The sequence below is a fragment of the Homo sapiens genome, chromosome 10 (genome assembly GCF_000001405.40).
Source record: "Homo sapiens chromosome 10, GRCh38.p14 Primary Assembly".
NCBI classification, from domain to species: Eukaryota; Metazoa; Chordata; class Mammalia; order Primates; family Hominidae; genus Homo; species Homo sapiens.
This window is the reverse complement of record NC_000010.11, coordinates 78,936,042-78,953,392: the sequence shown is the minus strand read 5'-3', so window position 1 is coordinate 78,953,392 and position 17,351 is coordinate 78,936,042. Positions and strand designations below refer to the sequence as shown.

Below are 17,351 nucleotides of genomic sequence, written 5' to 3'. Positions count from 1 at the left end.
CTTGAGACCTTGTGGGGAGCTTCCTCCCAGCTCCGGTCTCCTCGGCCTGTCTTCGAGGCTGCCCGGAAGCTGTCTCCCTGTGATTAATGAGCATTTCCCCTCCCTCGGGCCCATGTTGGGGGACGGATGGGATGTGGCTTTGGCTGTTGTGGGTAGTGCTGGGGATTGGGGAGCCTTGGAGCGTGGGCTGCAGCTGTTTACTTGGCAGGGCCTCACTTGCAGATGTGAGGCTGCAGGGTGGGTAGAGAAGCTGAGGGGTGGGGTAGAACCCAACGAGAAGCCAGGACCACTGCCTCTCCTCAGGAAGAGCCTGTGTGCTCCTGGAGAAGGACTCACACTCACTGCCCCACGTTCAGAACCCTGGTTCTCAGAACCTGCCCCCTGATGGTGGCCCGGCTGCCTCCAGCTGTCTCCAAGTGTTGGTCAAGTTTCTTGCCCCAGGCTCTCCTGGATGCTCAGCCGAAGGCCTCTCTTACTCAAGCCAGTGTGGTTTTGGTTTTGGGGCTGAAGCAGCATTGGGCTCCGGCCCAGCTCCAATTATCTTGGGCAGTAGAATTTGGGGCTGGGAGAGGTCAGGCGTGGAAGAGTTCTTAGCTAATGGAAAGATGGAACTGTGGGCTCCTCCCTGCGTAGCTCATCTCAGGGGATGGGGCAGGCCCTGCTTCTTCCTAGAGTGCAGCCATGGGTTTCCAGGATGTGAGCTCAGCAACTCTGGGTGGGGGTCCTTTTCCCACCCCATCTGACACATTTTCTGTCCCTTGTCCAGAGGGACCTGCCAGGTCTTTTTCAACCTAGAACAAAAAATTGTAGAGGATGCAATCAGGAGAAGCTTCTCAAGTCACTGGCTGAATGTGTTGAGATTAGAGTAGAGAGGGCATTCAATATACTCTGTCAGTGGTGAATAGTTTTGTGCTTATTGACATGAATAATTCATCCATTCCTTCTTCTTCCATCCTTCCAACCTCATCCATCCCTCTATTAATTTATCTATCCTCCAATCAAGCCATCTATCCATCCGTCCGTCCATCCGTCCATCCATCCATCCATCCATCCATCCATCCATCCATCCCCATGATCATCTAGGTGAGTACTTGCTCTGGGCCAGACCTTGTGTCAGTTGCTAGGATACAGTGATAAATAGTTCATGATCCCTGCCCTGAAAGTGTTCTCAGTCTGGTGACCAGCTATTCAAATAAACACCGGCATCTCCTCAGCAATATCATGCTGTAGTGAATGTGAAAGTTGTTTCATGAATCCAGAGGATTAACTGACTCCAACTCAAATGTCACCTCTCTAGAACACTTTCTCTGATTCCACTGTGTGGCATGGGAATTTGAGGGGCAGAGAAGAGGGTGAAGAGCATTTCTGGCACACGGACCAGGTGCTGCCAGGCCAGAGTTCTGCAAATACGTAGCATGTTCAAGGCTGCAGGGGGTGGGGGCTGGAGAAGGAGCAATGTGAGGGAATCGGCTGGAAGGGCAAGGTGGGCCTGAGTGAGGAGGGCCTTGAATGCCAGGTGAAGGCTCTTGGGTTTTAGCCTGTGGTCCTTGAGGCACCAGGGAGCAGTGGGAAGCAGAGGCCAAGCCTGGTCAGATGTGTATTTTAGGAAGGTCATTGAGGCAGTCATATCTGGGTTTGGATTCAACTCTGCCAGTTTCTAATTCTGTGACCTTGGGCAAGCAAATTAACCTCCCTGAGGCTGTTTCCTTTTTTTCCCAAATGGAGGTGATGCTCTCTACTTCATTGGGTTGTTGGGTCTTTAATGAGATCCTACTGAGATGTACTTGGTGCAGTTCTTGGCACACCGTAGATGCCCAAATAACCACCTTATTAAGGGCTCCGCTGGGACGTAGTTGGAATCAGAGCTTGGGTCTTCTGCTGATTCCAACTCATGGTGCGCGTTAGAGCTAGTCACTTCATTTCCACGGGCTTCAGTTTTCTTATCCACAAAGCAGTCATAAAAGCCCCTGCGTGGGAGTGCTGTGAGGAGGGGGCAAGGTGATGGGTGTGCTGCCAGGTCAGCTGGTGGTAACAGACTCAGCCAACCAGTGGTGCCCCAACTTGGGCAGGTCCTGGGGATGGCGCCAATGACCCTGGGTGGCCTGGCACCTGGCCACTCGAAACTCTTCCCACCCAGGAGTGGCTCCCTCACCCCCGCCCTGTCCTGCCCTGCCCAGCTGCTCTGAGGAGATGGCTCCCTGGCTTCATGACTGCAGCTGCTAATCCCAGGGAGCAGTGGGCTGAGGCGAGACCCGACACGTCTGCGGCCCTCGGCAGCCCGACTTACCCAACACATTGGCTCTACGCCATCCCCATCAGCTATAGAGTGGAGCTGCTGCCCATCAGCCCTGCCTGGCACCCCAGGCTGACCTTGGCTCCTGCCTGACCTTGGATCTCGATGGGCCAGGGAAGAAGTCAGAGAAAGCTGTGTCCAGAAGTAGAGCCATGCCCATAAGGACCCACTCAACTTGTCCTGTGAGCAGCAGGAAGGTCTTGCACCCATAGTTTCTGCTCTCACATATCAGTCTCTGTCAGAGCCTCAGTTGGTTCATCTGCAAAATGGGAGGGATAATACTGACCTCACAGGTTTTACGTGGGAGTCAAGAGAGGAAGATGGAGGGAAAGACATTTGTAGGGTGTAACTCATGCATGTTTGGTGCCTAATGGCAGTCACTGAGTGCCTGGCATGGCAGCTCAGTGTGATGGCTTACAATGGGAACACCTTCCAGAAGGAAATAAAGGGTTCTGGGGAAGCAGGGACCCGGCAGGTAAATAGCAACAGCCAGGATCCACGAGTGCCATCCCTTCTCACCTGGCTCTCGCTATGTGTGTACATACATACTCACACACATACAAATGCACAATGCACATATGGCACAAACAAATACGTCTATATTTACACAATATAGACACAGCATGATACACAATGTCGATGTACACCTGTGCTTCAGGATTCACACACATCACAAGCAAATGCACAGACCCATGCCCACCATCCATTTGCACACCTGCAACTCATACATGATGATGCCTTTTCCAGGATAAAAATACCCATTTACTTGTGTTGACCCTATTAGTCCTGCAGCAGAATGTACCAGAATAAACATTCCACTATAACATCGAAGCTCTTTAGATCTGTAGAGTAAGGAGGAGACTGTAGAGGGCTCCCCTCCCCATCCTCACTTGCTCACTTGCAGATGGGGAACCTGAGGCTCAGAGAACTTAGGGCCATGCCACTGCTAGCCTGTGACTTTGGTCAAGGCAGTGTTCTCGTTGTGCTCCTGGATGATCCCTTTACTGCCTGCAACTTTCCTCCTCCCTTCTCTGCTCTGGTCACAGGATCTAGCAAGTCCCATGGTTCCCCGGCCCCTCACTTGACCCTCAGCTCCTCATGTGGGGCAAGAAAGAGGTTAAGCCCTAACTTGAGAAGCAGGAGCATCCTGTGCTGGGGCTGGCACAGATGAGTGGTCGCCACAGCAGCTGCGTCCTCTGAAAAGACAGCAAAGCCTGGCTGTTCACACCAGGAAGGGGGTTGTCCAGGGGCTGGTTTTTCCATGGACATCTCAAGCCCAGGGCTTATGGATTACAGTCTTTTGAAGAATATTTGATAGCCGAGAATGAAATGATCAACTCCACAAAATGACTGCAAAATCAAAATTAATGTTTAATTGAATATGTGCATAACATCACATCATGTCAACTTGTTAAATTCAACTCACTCCAGCTCCTATGAAGTTAGGTGTAAATGATACTTGCGTGAGATGTGGATGCATTCTGATGTGTTTATATGATGTGGTATGACATTCTAGAGTGAGAGGGTTAGAGGCTATGACTATTTAAAAACAGTCTATCGGCAGCATGGGGGTTGGGATGCAGCCAATAATAGCTGAGCAGCTACTTTCTGACTGTCCCACCAGTGCCCATTGGAGGCGTTTCCAGCACCGATGGATAGATAAGCTAACTTATAGGGAGCACTTGAGTGAATATTCTAGAGTCCTCCCAGACGATCTGGTAAGTTCATGCAGTATCTGAGAGTGATCTGCTTGTCCTGGTCTGTCTCCTGGGGGCTGGGGATGCAGATGGGGCAAGAAAAGATAGCCTGCAGAAGAGGAACCTGGGGCTTTCACCATTGCCTCCATACCTGAGGCAGCCCTAAGGCCCATGGGCAGAGCATCTGGGACATGGTATTACTGGATTTTGGGTGACTGTAAGGAAGAATGACAGACTGCCTTGTTAAAGAGAATCACAAAGTGGCTCACTACTGCACAGCACTGGGCTATATCTGCAAAGCATTTGTAGACAATCTTACTTTCACCTTGGAATGGCAGGATCAGTTTACATACATGGGCAATGGGGCCAGTGAGGTGCAGGAGGGTTGAGTGAGTCACTGGGGTCCTCACTGTTGAGAAAGAACAGCTTTGGAACTAGAGCCAACTCTCCTGACGTCTGGGCTGGGTACAGCTGCCATGCCCCACCCTTTGTCATGCTATCCTTGGGAGGTGCTTTGGCCAAGGCATGGTTCATGCTGCTCTTCCACATTTGCATAGGGCGTCCACCTCCACTCCGTGGCCCTGCATCACGCAGCTGTCTGAGCACAGTGTGCTGTGCTGGAGGTGGTTAGTGCTCACAGGAGCCATGGGCTCCCTCACACTTCCCAGCCTCCTGTGCTGAGACCGGGCCCAGGTGACTGGTCTGGCCAATGGACTGTGAGCAATGGGGATGTGTCCCTTCCAGGCCCAGCAGGGGCCATTTACCTCGAAGCTAATGGGGCATGGGCTCCAGGGTGCCCACTTCCCCAGCCCCTCCCTTTGGGAGGCCATGGATATTTTGTATTTATAATTTTTGTGTACAGTGGTGTGTGAGCTGCTATGGGCATTTTACATTTAGAATTTTCTCCAACTTTTCATAGAAAGGGCCTCCCAGGCCAGGCGCGGTGGCTCATGCCTGTAATCTCAGCACTCTGGGAGGCCGAGGCAGGCGGATCACGAGGTCAGGAGATTGAGACCATCCTGGCTAACACGGTGAAACCCTGTCTCTACTAATAATACAAAAAATTAGCCGGGCGTGGTGGCGGGCGCCTGTAGTCCCAGCTACTTGGGAGGCTGAGGTAGGAGAATGGCATGAACCCGGGAGACGGAGCTTGCAGTGAGCCGAGATCGTGCCACTGCACTCCAGCCTGGGTGACAGAGCAAGACTCTGTCTAAAAAAAAAAAAGAAGAAAGGGCCCCCCAAATTGTGCAAGTTTCAGAACCACAAAATCTGGATGTGCCCCCGAGGCCAGGCAGCTAAGAGATGTGTACCTCCTCCATCCTGTTCTCCCCAGCTCTGCAGTGGCCTTGGAGGTCAAAGCCACACAATGAAGGAGGGCAGCCTGCCTGGGCATGCCTTTATTTGAGTGAGGAGAGAGCATCCTGGGAAGGCCCTGCAATGTGGGGACTTATTTGTCACACAGCCTAACCTGTGATGCTGACCCATGCACAGAGGAGGAGACTGAGACTTTTCCTTTTCCTTGGGGTTAGTGCAGGTGTTCCCCAGAGCTGCAGAGACTTGGATCTTCCTTCCCATAGAGACCAGGACCCTATGTACCCTGGTCTGTGGACTCCAAATTCGGTGCTTTGAGCTCAGGAGCCTTGGGCTAAGGCCAGGTGTCCCAGAAGCTTCAGGGAGACCAACAGCATCTCTCAAGGGTCCTTCAGAATAAGGAGTTGAGGGCTGAGCTCACAGCCTGGAGACACAGGGTGTGGGCAGCTCTGGAAATATCTGAAGGTGTCTGGTGTCCTCAGAAACATCTGAGTACCCCCAGCCTGACACCCTCAAGGTTGTACTCACAGGTGCACATCAGAGGTCACTGCCTCAGGGGAATTTGTTTCTCCCAACATAAATAGGAATTGGGAAATAGCCAAGCAGCCCTGGTTTCTGATGCAGCTGTTCCCTGGTGCAGCTCTAGAATCCGGCTCAGCTCGCTCCTGAGAGAGGGGAGAGGCTGCAGCTGAGCAGATCTGATGGACCTGGCAGGAGGGTGTTTACATCCTGGTGCTCACTCTGCCTGCTCTGTCCTGCAGGGCAGCGGCTGCTGGGCTGGCAGGGGAGGGCGAGGCATTTGAATCAGACACGGAGAGTCAGACCTGGAAAGGCGGTGGGGCTTTCTTGCCTGTCACCTAAGGCAGCATCCTTAATAAGCAGGTCCTTGGACATGGACAGTCTGCATTCCTTTTTTTTTTTCTTTTTTTTGAGACAGAGTCTAACTCCATCACCCAGGCTGAAGTGAAATAGTGCAGTCTTGGCTCACTGCAACCTCCACCTCCTGGGTTCAAGTGATTCTCCTGCCTCAGCCTCCTGAGTAGCTGAGATTATAGGTGCACACCACTACACCCAGCTAATTTTTGTATTTTTAGTAGAGACAGGGTTTCATCATGCTGGCTAGGTTGGTCTTGAACTCCTGGGCTCAAGTAATCCACCCTCCTCAGCCTCCTAAAGTTCTGGGATTATGGCCCTGGGCCACTATGCCCAGCTTGTATTCATTTTTAAACAGCCAATTGAAACAACAGCGTGTGGACATATATACTTTCCTGATTGCATGGAAGCACATATGTGCTACTCATGTGTGCCATTTTATCTAAAATGGAGATTATACCTATGCACTAAGGCGGAAGAATTAAATAAAAGCAATTGTATGCCATAGGCTAGCAGCAGGCTTTACCCAGAATTGGCATTTGACCTGCTATATATATCACAGTTACTGTTACAATTGCTTTTGCCTTTGTTGTAATTTTTTTGTATTGTTTTGTAGCTCTGATGCCACCCAGGTAAGGGCTTTGTGGTATTGGTAAGGTCTTTGGCCACGAGGGGCTCAGGGCCCTTCTGCCCTTGTCCTGGAGCCCAGTTTTCTCGCCTTGTGATGCTCTGGCCTGAGTTGTCTGCAGGCCTCATCTCTGTCTGAGCTCGTCCCCAACCAACCAGGCCAAACTGGTCAGCAGTGCTTGAGCTGGAATGGAGCTTGGTGTCCTGCAGCTTTGGGTGTCCTCTGAGGCTTCTAGGAGCTGGACTGTGTTCTGGTTTTGTCTGCTACTGCCGTGGTGCAGCACACCAGCCTTCCTGAGTGTGCAGAGCTGCACCAATAAACTCTGGCCCTGCAAAACAGCCTCTGCTCTCTCCTGCTGCTGGGGAGCAGCCTGGTAACCCCTGTAGCTTTAGGTAGGAAAGGCTGTTCCCAAGCTGGGTCTTGCCTAGAAGGCTCTCCTTGGTATCTTAGGTCAGGTTCACCAGAAACAGGAGCTGAAGCAGGGATTCCAGTACAAGTGGTGCATTGAGGGGAATTCTCCAGAGACAGTGAGAGAAGCAGGATAGGGGAGGGGAAAGAGCTAAGCAGAGGTGCAAAGTGCAGCCTTCGTCTCATCCCACAGGGAGCTCAGGAGGGGGAATTGCACTGAAGATTTGTCCCATCGTGAAGCAAGAGCACTGGAACTTACACTCCACCATCAGTAAGTCACGGGCAGGGGGCTGACCTTCGGAGGGGTGGGCAAATTTCAGGCATCCTTGGACAAGACTGCTCCCCTTGGCTTGAGAAAGTGTGGTGTGTATTGTTGGCCGCACACCCCATCCTGCAACACCTGGGTGATGGATCCTCATGTCCAGGCAAGGGGCTCTGAGTGGGGCATCAGTCACATTGCCACACCCTTCATGGCCATCTCTTCTCTCCAATGATGACCTTGTATTCTCCCCAGGTTCCATTCTATGTGGCTTAATAAGCACAGGGTTATCTGGGCCTACTGTGGGCCAGGCCCCAGCGAGGGTCTGGGCAGGTTGAAGTATACACAAATAACGGGCTCATCTGGCAGGTCTGTTGGTGCTTCTGCAGATGGCTTCCACATTCACCCCCATCTCATCCCTGGGGCGCTCTTCTTCCCTCTAAACCTGCCCAAGGCTAAGTTTACTAGAGCTGCATGTTGGTATGCATGTTGCATGCTCCAAAGCAGAGGAAGGCCAACCAGGAGAATGTGTTTTTTATTTTACAAAAGCAGCTAGAAAGTACCACTTTCTTTGGGATGGGTGGGTGGAGGTGGAGGAAGGGTCTGCCTAACTTGCCTGCATGTTTTTCTCACTTCTGCACACTTTCTGAGCCAAGCAGAGGAGGCAGCACAGAGAAGCACTCTCTCTCCTGCCCTCCGCTCCACCACCCTCTCCCTCCCTGCTGGGCTGTCTCTGCTGTAGCCCAGGCCTTGTAGCTACTGCTGGGGAAAACAGAAAACCACAGCTATGCAGCACCAAACAGGCCTGCATCATGTTTATGAAATGACAGAGTCCTGGGCCCTTCTCCAAAGAGGCTGGGGCTCCCTGCAACAACTCAGACAGCTCTTCCACATCCAAGGTTGTGCTTAGGAGGCTGCAAGGCTCTTAGTAGTCATTGCTCCAAGTCTCTCATTTCAACAGGGGGCCCAGAGATGGGGAGGGAGTTGGACAAGATCACACAGAGCACTGAGAGCTGGTTAAGGCAAGTCTGAGGAAGGCCAAGGTTGAGGTTCCTGGGTGAGGGCAGGGGGAAGGGGCTCTCATTCAAGTTCAAGTTCATGTTCACATGTGACTGCTCTTAGGTCCCGCCTCCTCTGCTCCCTCATGTCTAATCAGCTGCTTCTTTTCGACCTAAGGGCCCTGTCACAGGAGAACAAAGAAGGAAGGCAGAGGAGATCATGCTCCGGCCAGCAGGGAATCTCCATTTTTTTCAGCCTCATACCTTGGAAAGTACAAAGGAGTGAGAGCTGGGACTACCAGCCAGAGGGTTCATGGAGGTAGTGGGAGGGGAAGATGGGTTCTGCATGGAGCCACTCCAGGGACTTTTCTTCTGTCTCACAGCCTGACAATCACCTCTAGCTGTTCTCAGTCCCATTCTCATCAATGACCTCGTCTCCTGATTTTGTACAATATCTAGGTGACCTTCTCTTCTTTCCATCTTCAAACGCTTGATCATTGATGCTCCCTTTTCTCTTCTCTCTCCTCCTGGGAAAAGAGAAGGACCAACATCCCCCTTTCCCTTCCTCCTGTGCTGTCCCGACCCCTCTGAGACCTGGCTCTAGCAGTAAGTCCCTCTCTCTTCTGCAGCACCAGCCTCTGCCCATCCCTGCCCTCTGCACACAAAGCTCTCACATTGTCTGCACTTTAAGAACTTTTGTGGCAAACCCTGGCAAATCCTGCCACTTGTTTCCACTCTTCTCAAATGGCTTTGAGGTCATCATTGACCTATCCCATTTGACCCTGTCCTGTATCTGATGTTGTACCCTTTCTCCTTGATCCCACTCTGGCAACTCTCCCACTCCCCTTTCTTGGATCAACTGTCTTGCTCCTCAGTCTTGATCAATGCCTCCTTCTCTCTCTTTAGCCTTGGCCCTTTTTGGCCAGGGAAATAAATGTGAAATACATAAAGCTTCATTTTATCTTATGATTATAGCTATGTTGATGTTACCCAAGACCTAAAAGTCACACTCTCTAATTACACTTCCCTCCTGTGTTCTGGGTCCTCTTGGACCAGTCCTTACTCTGGCTCCCCTCCTGGATGTCTCCCAGACTTCTAATTAGAATTACTGTTTCCTATATCAAGCTAATTATCTTTCCCACCAACCTCCTCCATCCTTGGGTGAAAGCATCACTTGGTTGCAAAAGTCAGAAATCTGGGTTTCATTCTTGCGGTAGGTAGAATAATGCCCCCAGGCCCCAGGTTTTGACATCCGAATCCCTGGGACTTTGCAGATGTGATTCAGTTTAGGATTTTGAGATGGGGAGATTATCTGGGAGAGCCTGATGTCATCATAAGGTTCTTATAAGAGGGAGGCAGGAGGGTTAGAGTGAGTAGTAAGAGATGCAACAGTGGAAGCAAGAGGTTGGGGTGATGTGGCCACAAGCCCAGGAGTGCTGACAGACATCAGAAGCTGGAAGGGACAAGGAATGGTTTCTCCTCTGGAGCCTCCAGAAAGAACCAGCCCTGCTGACACCTTGATTTTAGCCTTGGAAGACTCATTTTGGACTTCTGACCTTGAACGTTGTAAGAGAATAAATTTACATATTTTAAACTGGTATGTTTATGGTAATTTTTTAACAGAAGCCGTAGGAAAGGAATCCGATCCTGATGCTGTTTCTCCATCACTAGCTGCACTCATTTGGCCCCTAGTCCAATCAATTTTATCTCCAAAATACCTTTCAGGTTAGCTCCTCCTTTCTGCCTCAAGCCTATGTAATCATTATTTCTCCTAAGAGGTCCTGCAATGATCTTTTAACTGATCACCCTATTATTCCGTGCCATCCCTGTCACTGTGTCAAGAGTTAGGATCTGATCTGCATTTCATGAAAATGATAGTCCTCTCTCCACAACTTTGCAGGCTAAAGCAGGGAGTTTAATTACTCAGGCTATGGGGGGCCCTGGAATGTGCTCTATGACCAGTCACTAGCCTCTCTCTCCTGCCCAGATCCCTACCTCACACCCTACCATTTAGGCAATGGGGGTAATGGCAGTGGGCACTTTGTCCATGTGGTTTCATCACCCTGACATACTCTCCTGTGACTTCTACCAACCCTTCAAGAGTCTGCACCTTCTTTGGGCCTCAGCTTTCTCATCTGTACCATCAAGGGGCTTATCCAGATGAGCTCAAAGCTCTATGGAACTCCTCAGCCTGAATAATTGAACAGAGTAGATTTCATTCACCACCAGTGCTCAGAAGATGCCTCAAGAGGGCTTTTAGCCCATCCCTGTCTTGGGGATAGATGTGCTTAATGGGCTGTGTTTCCCAATGATGCCATCTCAGAGTTAGTGGGGTATGCATATGTGTGCTGCATATGTGGCATGTGCTTGCATGTTTTAGGGGGAACAACAGAATTTTAAACAGTTTATTAAAGAGCCACTAACGGTGCCTTGGATATGAAATTTCTACTGGAAAATAACTCTCTGTTTTGACGATTTAAGTGTTAATGATTCAAAACCATATGGATCACATTTCCCTCCCATCCATGTGGTTTTTAAAGAGTATCAGAAAGACTGCTTAGAGCAAAATGCATTTATGATTCTATCGATCTTGTAGCATTGCAAGGGCTGTTCAACAGACCTGAGAAAGAGGAGAGCCTGTGGGGCCAGGATGTGGGCCTTTCCCTGGGCCCTCTGCACGTAGTCTCCAAGGCAAGCAGCTCTTGGCATCTGGGGAGAGTTTTCAGTACACAACTTGGTGGGAAAGGAATGCTGCATCCCGGTGGGATTTTTTGCAAAACCTCCAGAACTAATTTTAAAATGACTTAGGTTTTGGCAGACTGAAGAGGTGTTAACTCAAACCCGGGTGTATTTCAAGGGAAATGTAATTAGAAAAATGCTCTCCTAGTTAGCTGGGAGCCTGTGCTGAGCAATAAAATTCTTGTTGGAGAATTGTTTGGTGAGATAAAACAACAACAACAACAACAACAACAACAAAAGCGTGCTGCCATCAGGGTCAGTGTGCAGACATGCACATGGGCTTCCCACCTCCCTCCCCTGCCAGGCCCTGGCACCCACACTTAGGCACTTGGGGCTGCTGAGCCTAGCATGGAGTGAACACATGCAGGCACCATGGAAAGGGCTCCTGCCCATAGGGACCAAGCCACCCTGAGCCAGTAATGAGAGTGGGGTGGAGTAGGGGGCCTGGCTGAGGGTGAGCATAGACTTGGATCCATTCAGATTCCTGGGCCTAACCCCTTTATTGTCCAATCAGATGACTCTGACAATTGGTCAGACTTAACCCATCTGGCCTAAGAGTGAAGTCTCGCCTCCCAGTTTGGCAATCCAGGCCTCAATTCCTCTTGCTGGCTTCATCTTTCCATTCCCTCCTCTGTGCTTCCTTTGCTAGTAGCCCTTCCCCAGACTCTCCATGGCCCCACTCCTCCCTTCCTAGTTCAGGTATCCCTCTGCCTGGGACACCAGGCTTGCTTTCTTCCCCAAAGAACAAGCCATCCCTCAAGAACACAGAAGAACCTCTGTTTCCTCTATGGAGAAGTCCCTATGGGAGTTTGTCCATCATTTCACTGTGGATACACATCTGTGACTGTAGCCCTTCACATCATCTCCCCATTGGACCTGAATCTCAGCCCCAACTTTGAGCTCCTATGGGGAAGGGATTTGTCCGAATCCTGTGTGCACTATGCCAGGGCCTAGCATAGAGCTTGACATGTGGTTAAGTACTCAACAAATGTGGAAGGAGTACGGTAAGTTTTGAGAATTGCTAGCACCGTTTCTACCACTCATCCATTTGATCCACCCACTCATGAATCCACCCATCCATTCACCTATCTATCCACCCAACACCCATCCAGCCATATACCATTCATCCATCCGTTCTTTTATGGATCCATCTATCTATCCACCCATCCATCCTTCCATCCACCCAGGCATGCATGCATCTGTCCTTTTTACCATCATCTATCCATCCACTAAGTCAGCCACACATCAGACACTCATTCAACAGATAGGGTGCTTTTTCTGTAGTCACGTTGCATTAATACAAGGTGATCTTGGAGTATTTCAAACCCATAGACTACTAGTATAACAAACAACTATGGATGTCCCAGTGAGCTCTTTCTTATCCTAATATTGTGCCATATCTATTTCAGATTTTTCTTTTCAAGAAATAAAATACTATAGATAAGATTGTGGCCCCATATGTGGCCTCCACAATTCTAATCCTCTTCCTCCTTCTGCAGAGATGGTGCCTTTCTTCTTATGCATGTTTTTATTTTTTAACCATGTATTTTTGTGTTCATAAACAACATACAGTGTTGTTGTTCAGGTTTAAACTTTTAACTTTTATGTAAATGGTATTCCACTGTATATGTCACTTTATGACTTGATGTATTTTGCTTATTCTATGATCCCATTGCACATTTTATATCTATCTCCATTAAGCCATTGGCTTGCTGTGTGATCCTTTTTCTCTCTCCATTTGGGTTGCAAGCTCCCAGAGCATAGGTAGCTCATCCTACTCACTATTTCCCAAGCCTGGCATGGTCTTTGTTAGTTGCCTACATAGATAATGGACAGACCTTTACGAAGTGCCAACCCTGTACTAAGCCCCATGCTCTGTGGTGGGCACCCAGATGTGAGTCAGACCCCGTCCTAGCTCCTGAGGAGTTGCAGATTAAAAGGCCTCTCTCAGGTAAAACTTTGTATCGAGGCAGGCTTTTTGAAGCTGTATTGCATTCACCCATTGATTCCCTCATTCATTCAGTCAGCGAATATTTCCTGAGCACCTTCTATGTGCCAGGCTCTGCTCATGCTGGGATGCAGCAAGGAGTCATAGGAGTAAGTTTCTTGCCGTCCGTATTGTGGGAAGCAAGAGAGGAAACAAAGTGGGCACACAATGGCAGATGGGAGCAACCTCCCTGCAGAGCACTGAAGGAATCTGGTGCATTACTGAGTTGTGAATAAGGAAACTAGTGGGGCAGTTGGGCCTCTCTGAGGAGGGGACACTTTAATTTGAGATCTGAATGATGGAGACCAGGGGAAGAAGACACAGAAGGGAGAGAATTTGGCCCACTGGAGGGAAGGAAGAGGGCTGTATGCCTAAATGGGGGAAGAGGGAGGGGTGGAGCCAAGCCAGCCGTTGGATTGTGCGTGGCTTTGTAAGGCAGGTAGGGGGCTTATGTTTTATTCCAGCCAGATAAGGATACTTCAGAGGGTTTAAAACAGATAAGTGATGGGATCCAATGACTCTTCGAAGTAATGGAAGGTGGGGGCCCCAGAGTTGCAGTTGGAAGGGAAGTTAGGCCCCTCTCGCACAATCCAGATTTAGTGGCTGCCGCTTGGCCCTGGTTGTGGGCAGTGGGCTTAGAGAGAAGTGGCTTTGGGGTGTGTCTCCAGGGCAGAGTTGATAGGTCTTGCTGAAAGGATGGGTGTAGGAGGGGAGGGCAAGAGGGTATTTGAGGACAACGTACAGGATCGTGACCTTGAGCCACTGGGTGGACGGCGGGAGTAGTGTTCACCGGGAGAGGAGTTGGAGGTTTGGGTGGAAAGACAGAGTTATGCTTTGGTCTGGCTGTTTCTGAAATGCCTTATGGACAGCCAAATGGAGCTGCCAATCAAGTGATTCATCTTGGGGTCCCCAGAGAGGTCATAGCTGGAGCCACATCACTTTGAGCATCTGTCCTTGGAGTGAGGCTGATACCTGGTACTTGGCAGGTGCCTTGTCCTGCCCACTTGCCTGAGGGTGCCGCTCACAGCCCCTCTCTCATGTTCACTGTGTGCCTTCTGGGGGTTAGGCTGGGTAGGGATTAATGTACCCATTTTATGGCTGGGAAGACAGAGGCTAAGGGAGGGCAGTGATTGGCCCAAGACCACACAGGCAGAGCCCGGACCCTACTCCTACTCCAGGGGTGGATTCTCTTTCCACCTGCAGGCCACTTCTGCATAACTGGGTGAGTGAGGGAAGCTTCAGTCTTTTCTGGATCTCTGCTTCTTCCTCTGTAAATTCCCTTTTTTGTTTTCATGATGCATCCAAGGTCAAAGTGGCTGAAAGATGCCAGAGCCAGGGCTATTCTGGCTGTTCTGGTGACCAGTGTTGGCCAAGGGCTGCAGTCACCCATTGGTGAGTGCACAAAATTGCTCCTCTCCTCCACTTTGTAAGGGAAGAAGTGAAGGATCTGAGTCGTGAGGATAAGGGAAGGACCTCTGAAAGTCATAGCTCACAGCCGTAAGTGCTTATAATGCTCTGGGCACGGTGCTAGGTACAGCAAAGTGCTACAGAACTGGAGAGTGAGTACTGGAATCATATCCATTTCATGAAGAGGAAACGAGGCAGTCTTAGTGAAATCACTGGCTCAGCTTCACACAGTGAGGACCAGAGCTGGAATTCAGACCCAGGAGTTTGGAATACAAAGCCCACCCCTTAGCCACATCACTCCACAGTGGTGTTAAATCAATAAGTCGTTGTTCATCTGTTTATGTTAGGGTTGGGGAAACTGAGGCCCTGCATGTGAGCGGTTTCCAGCAGGAGCACTTAGAAGCGAAAGGCTCAAACAGTCAAAACCTTGGAGTGTCAGGAGATGCTGAGGACAAGGTTTCCTAGTATGGGCCTTTGCCTGCCTGTGTGTGATAAGCCCTTGACCATGTAAACAGCAGTGTCCTGGGGAAACAGGAAGGGCAGACAGGGGCCCTGGCATGCTGGCTGGCGGGGGGCAGATTAGCTGATGGCTGGGAAGGAGAGGCTCAATGTCTGGGCTGTGCTTCCCACCCAGGGGAAGCTGCTGACAGGGAATAGGAAGGCAGGGGCCTCTTCCAGGGGTGGGACAGGCCTGGCCCCCCGCTCCTCTACCAATTGTGCAACTGGGGCAGGGCTGCCCTGCTTTTTGTTCCTGAAACTAGGGCTGATTTAAAGTGAAATCTTCCATTCCATGAGCAAATATTGAGCACTTACTATGTGCCAGATGAGGGACAGCTGCAGATAGGATCCCCCTCCCCCAGCCTATTGTTTAGCGAGGGTGCTGCCCTCTCCCGGGGATGGGGACATAGCACATTAGGGGGCACCTCCTGGCGGGAGCCCTGGAGGAAATGATTTTCAATGAACCCTAAAATGTGAGTGGGCAGAGGGAATAGCCACACCCAGGCTCAGAGCCTGGTAGGCATGTCATTTTTAAGGTGGGAAGGAACTTGATTGGTTTGGCTTTTTGTTTTCAGGTGAAATTCACATAACGTAAACCATTTTTAAATGTACAATTGAGTGGCAATTCATACAGCCACAAGGTTGTGCAACCATTACCCTGTTTAGTTCCACTGCCTCCTGCTTCTCACCCAGACCTCGGTGGTTTCCTGCTCCGAATGCTGGGATTCCACCATTCCAACAGCAGAGGCAGGTTTGGCCGTGTCATCACGACACACCCTTTGCTCACATAAAATGATATCATATTCACAAAAACCATTTGGAGGTAGATATGATTTGCCCATTCTACAGGTGGGGATACTGAAGAAAAGTGGAGAGATTTGCCTAAAGTCACACAGTCATGGGCAGAGCCAGCCTTGGCATGCAGGCGTCAGAGGCTCATGTCTCAGGCACTGTGGCTCCCAAATATAGATCTTCAGACCAGCTGGGCACCTGGTCAATAATTTAGACTTGGGTCTGGGGCCTAGGCATCTGGATTCCCTTTAAGGCCTCCCCTCCCTGCCCAGGACAGGGAGGTACCTTGCCCCAGGCCTTGCCTGACTCAGGTCCCAGGCACAGGGTTCTGGGGACACAGCCAGCCTCAAGGTGGGACTTTTCAGGGAAGGCAGCTGGTGCACTGGCAGCTTGAGGGTGATGGGCATGTGGGGGTGGCAGGGAGGGCAAGTGGAGCCAGAAATCTGGCCCAGTCAGTCCCAGGACAGAGGCTTCTTGTCAGCATCCCCGGGCGTTGGCCCTGCTGACAAATGGGCCACGACTTCTCTCGTGAATTTGCGGAGTGACGTGTAATAATAAAACGCTCCTTAAAGCCGGGACATGGCAGGAGTGACTGCTTTTCCAGGTCCTAATAAGGATCATTAACTGTGTATGAAAGGTTTTATAAACATTTGTTAAGCTCCCTGAACTAACTGTGCCCATGGCCTGTAGCTCCCTGAGATGTCACGGCCAGCTGGAGCCAGCTGGAAGGGTAGAGACACAGGACCTCAGATCTTGCTGCTCCAGATCTCAGAGGTTCCCCCACTCCCAGGCTTCTGCCCCTTGGCTGCGGCATGATGGGGCAGCTTGGAGTCCAGAAGCCCTGGGATAATATGTGTCCCAGGAATGAAGTGCTGGAGAGATAGCGGACTCCACCACTTCCTCTTTGAGTCTCAAGCTCCTCGCCTGTAAGGTAGAGATCATAGGTACTCCCATGCTGCTGGGGGGAGATTTGGTGAAATAAAATCCATGGGTGTGAGCTTCCCTTTTCTTCCCCTTCCCTCCTTTTCCCCTGCCTTCTCCCCTCTCTGCAGAAGCTAGCGGTCCTCCCCTAGAAGCTCAAGAAGAAGGAGGGGTTGGGGCTACAGGGATCCAGGAAGAAGGGGGGATAGAGGTACTGCCTTGGTGTGGGGACAAGGCCTGGGCCACATGCCACGCCTGAGAGAGGAGCCAGGCGTCAGTGTCCCTCCCCCGTCGAACCATCCGTTTTGTTTCCTATTCTGCCCTGTGCTGTCGTCACTTCCCAGTACTCCCCAGCGTTCAGGAAAATTCTGTTCTACATTATGATGTGGCCTCCATGGCCTTCTGGGCAAATGGAAGAGGGTGCGCCTGACAGGGCTAGGGGAGGGGTGAGGACAGCAGCAGCTGTTGTTGCAGTAAGCTTGGAGCCAGGTGACAAGGACAGCAGGATTCAGGCAGCATGGACTGGTCCAGGGCAGTGGG

General features: G+C 50.7%; 1 long non-coding RNA gene across 3 annotated transcripts in view, besides 1 other annotated feature; it reads left to right on the top strand.

Moving 5' to 3' along the window:
- The window catches only part of ZMIZ1-AS1 (ZMIZ1 antisense RNA 1), a 124,123-nt gene extending 114,056 nt beyond the window's left edge, over positions 1 to 10,067 (top strand). For all 3 annotated transcript variants that reach the window (NR_015429.1, NR_024429.1, NR_024431.2), the window contains 2 exons: positions 7,404 to 7,481; positions 8,646 to 10,067. This is a non-coding gene — a long non-coding RNA (ZMIZ1 antisense RNA 1). The remainder of the gene's footprint in view (positions 1 to 7,403; positions 7,482 to 8,645) is intronic.
- Positions 15,759 to 16,281: an enhancer, noted in NCBI's record as "H3K4me1 hESC enhancer chr10:80696869-80697391 (GRCh37/hg19 assembly coordinates)". NCBI's record gives its function as "activates a minimal SCP1, AML or CMV promoter by ChIP-STARR-seq in primed H9 embryonic stem cells {active_cell/tissue: H9 hESC(primed)}" and the evidence as "EXISTENCE:reporter gene assay evidence [ECO:0000049][PMID:30033119]".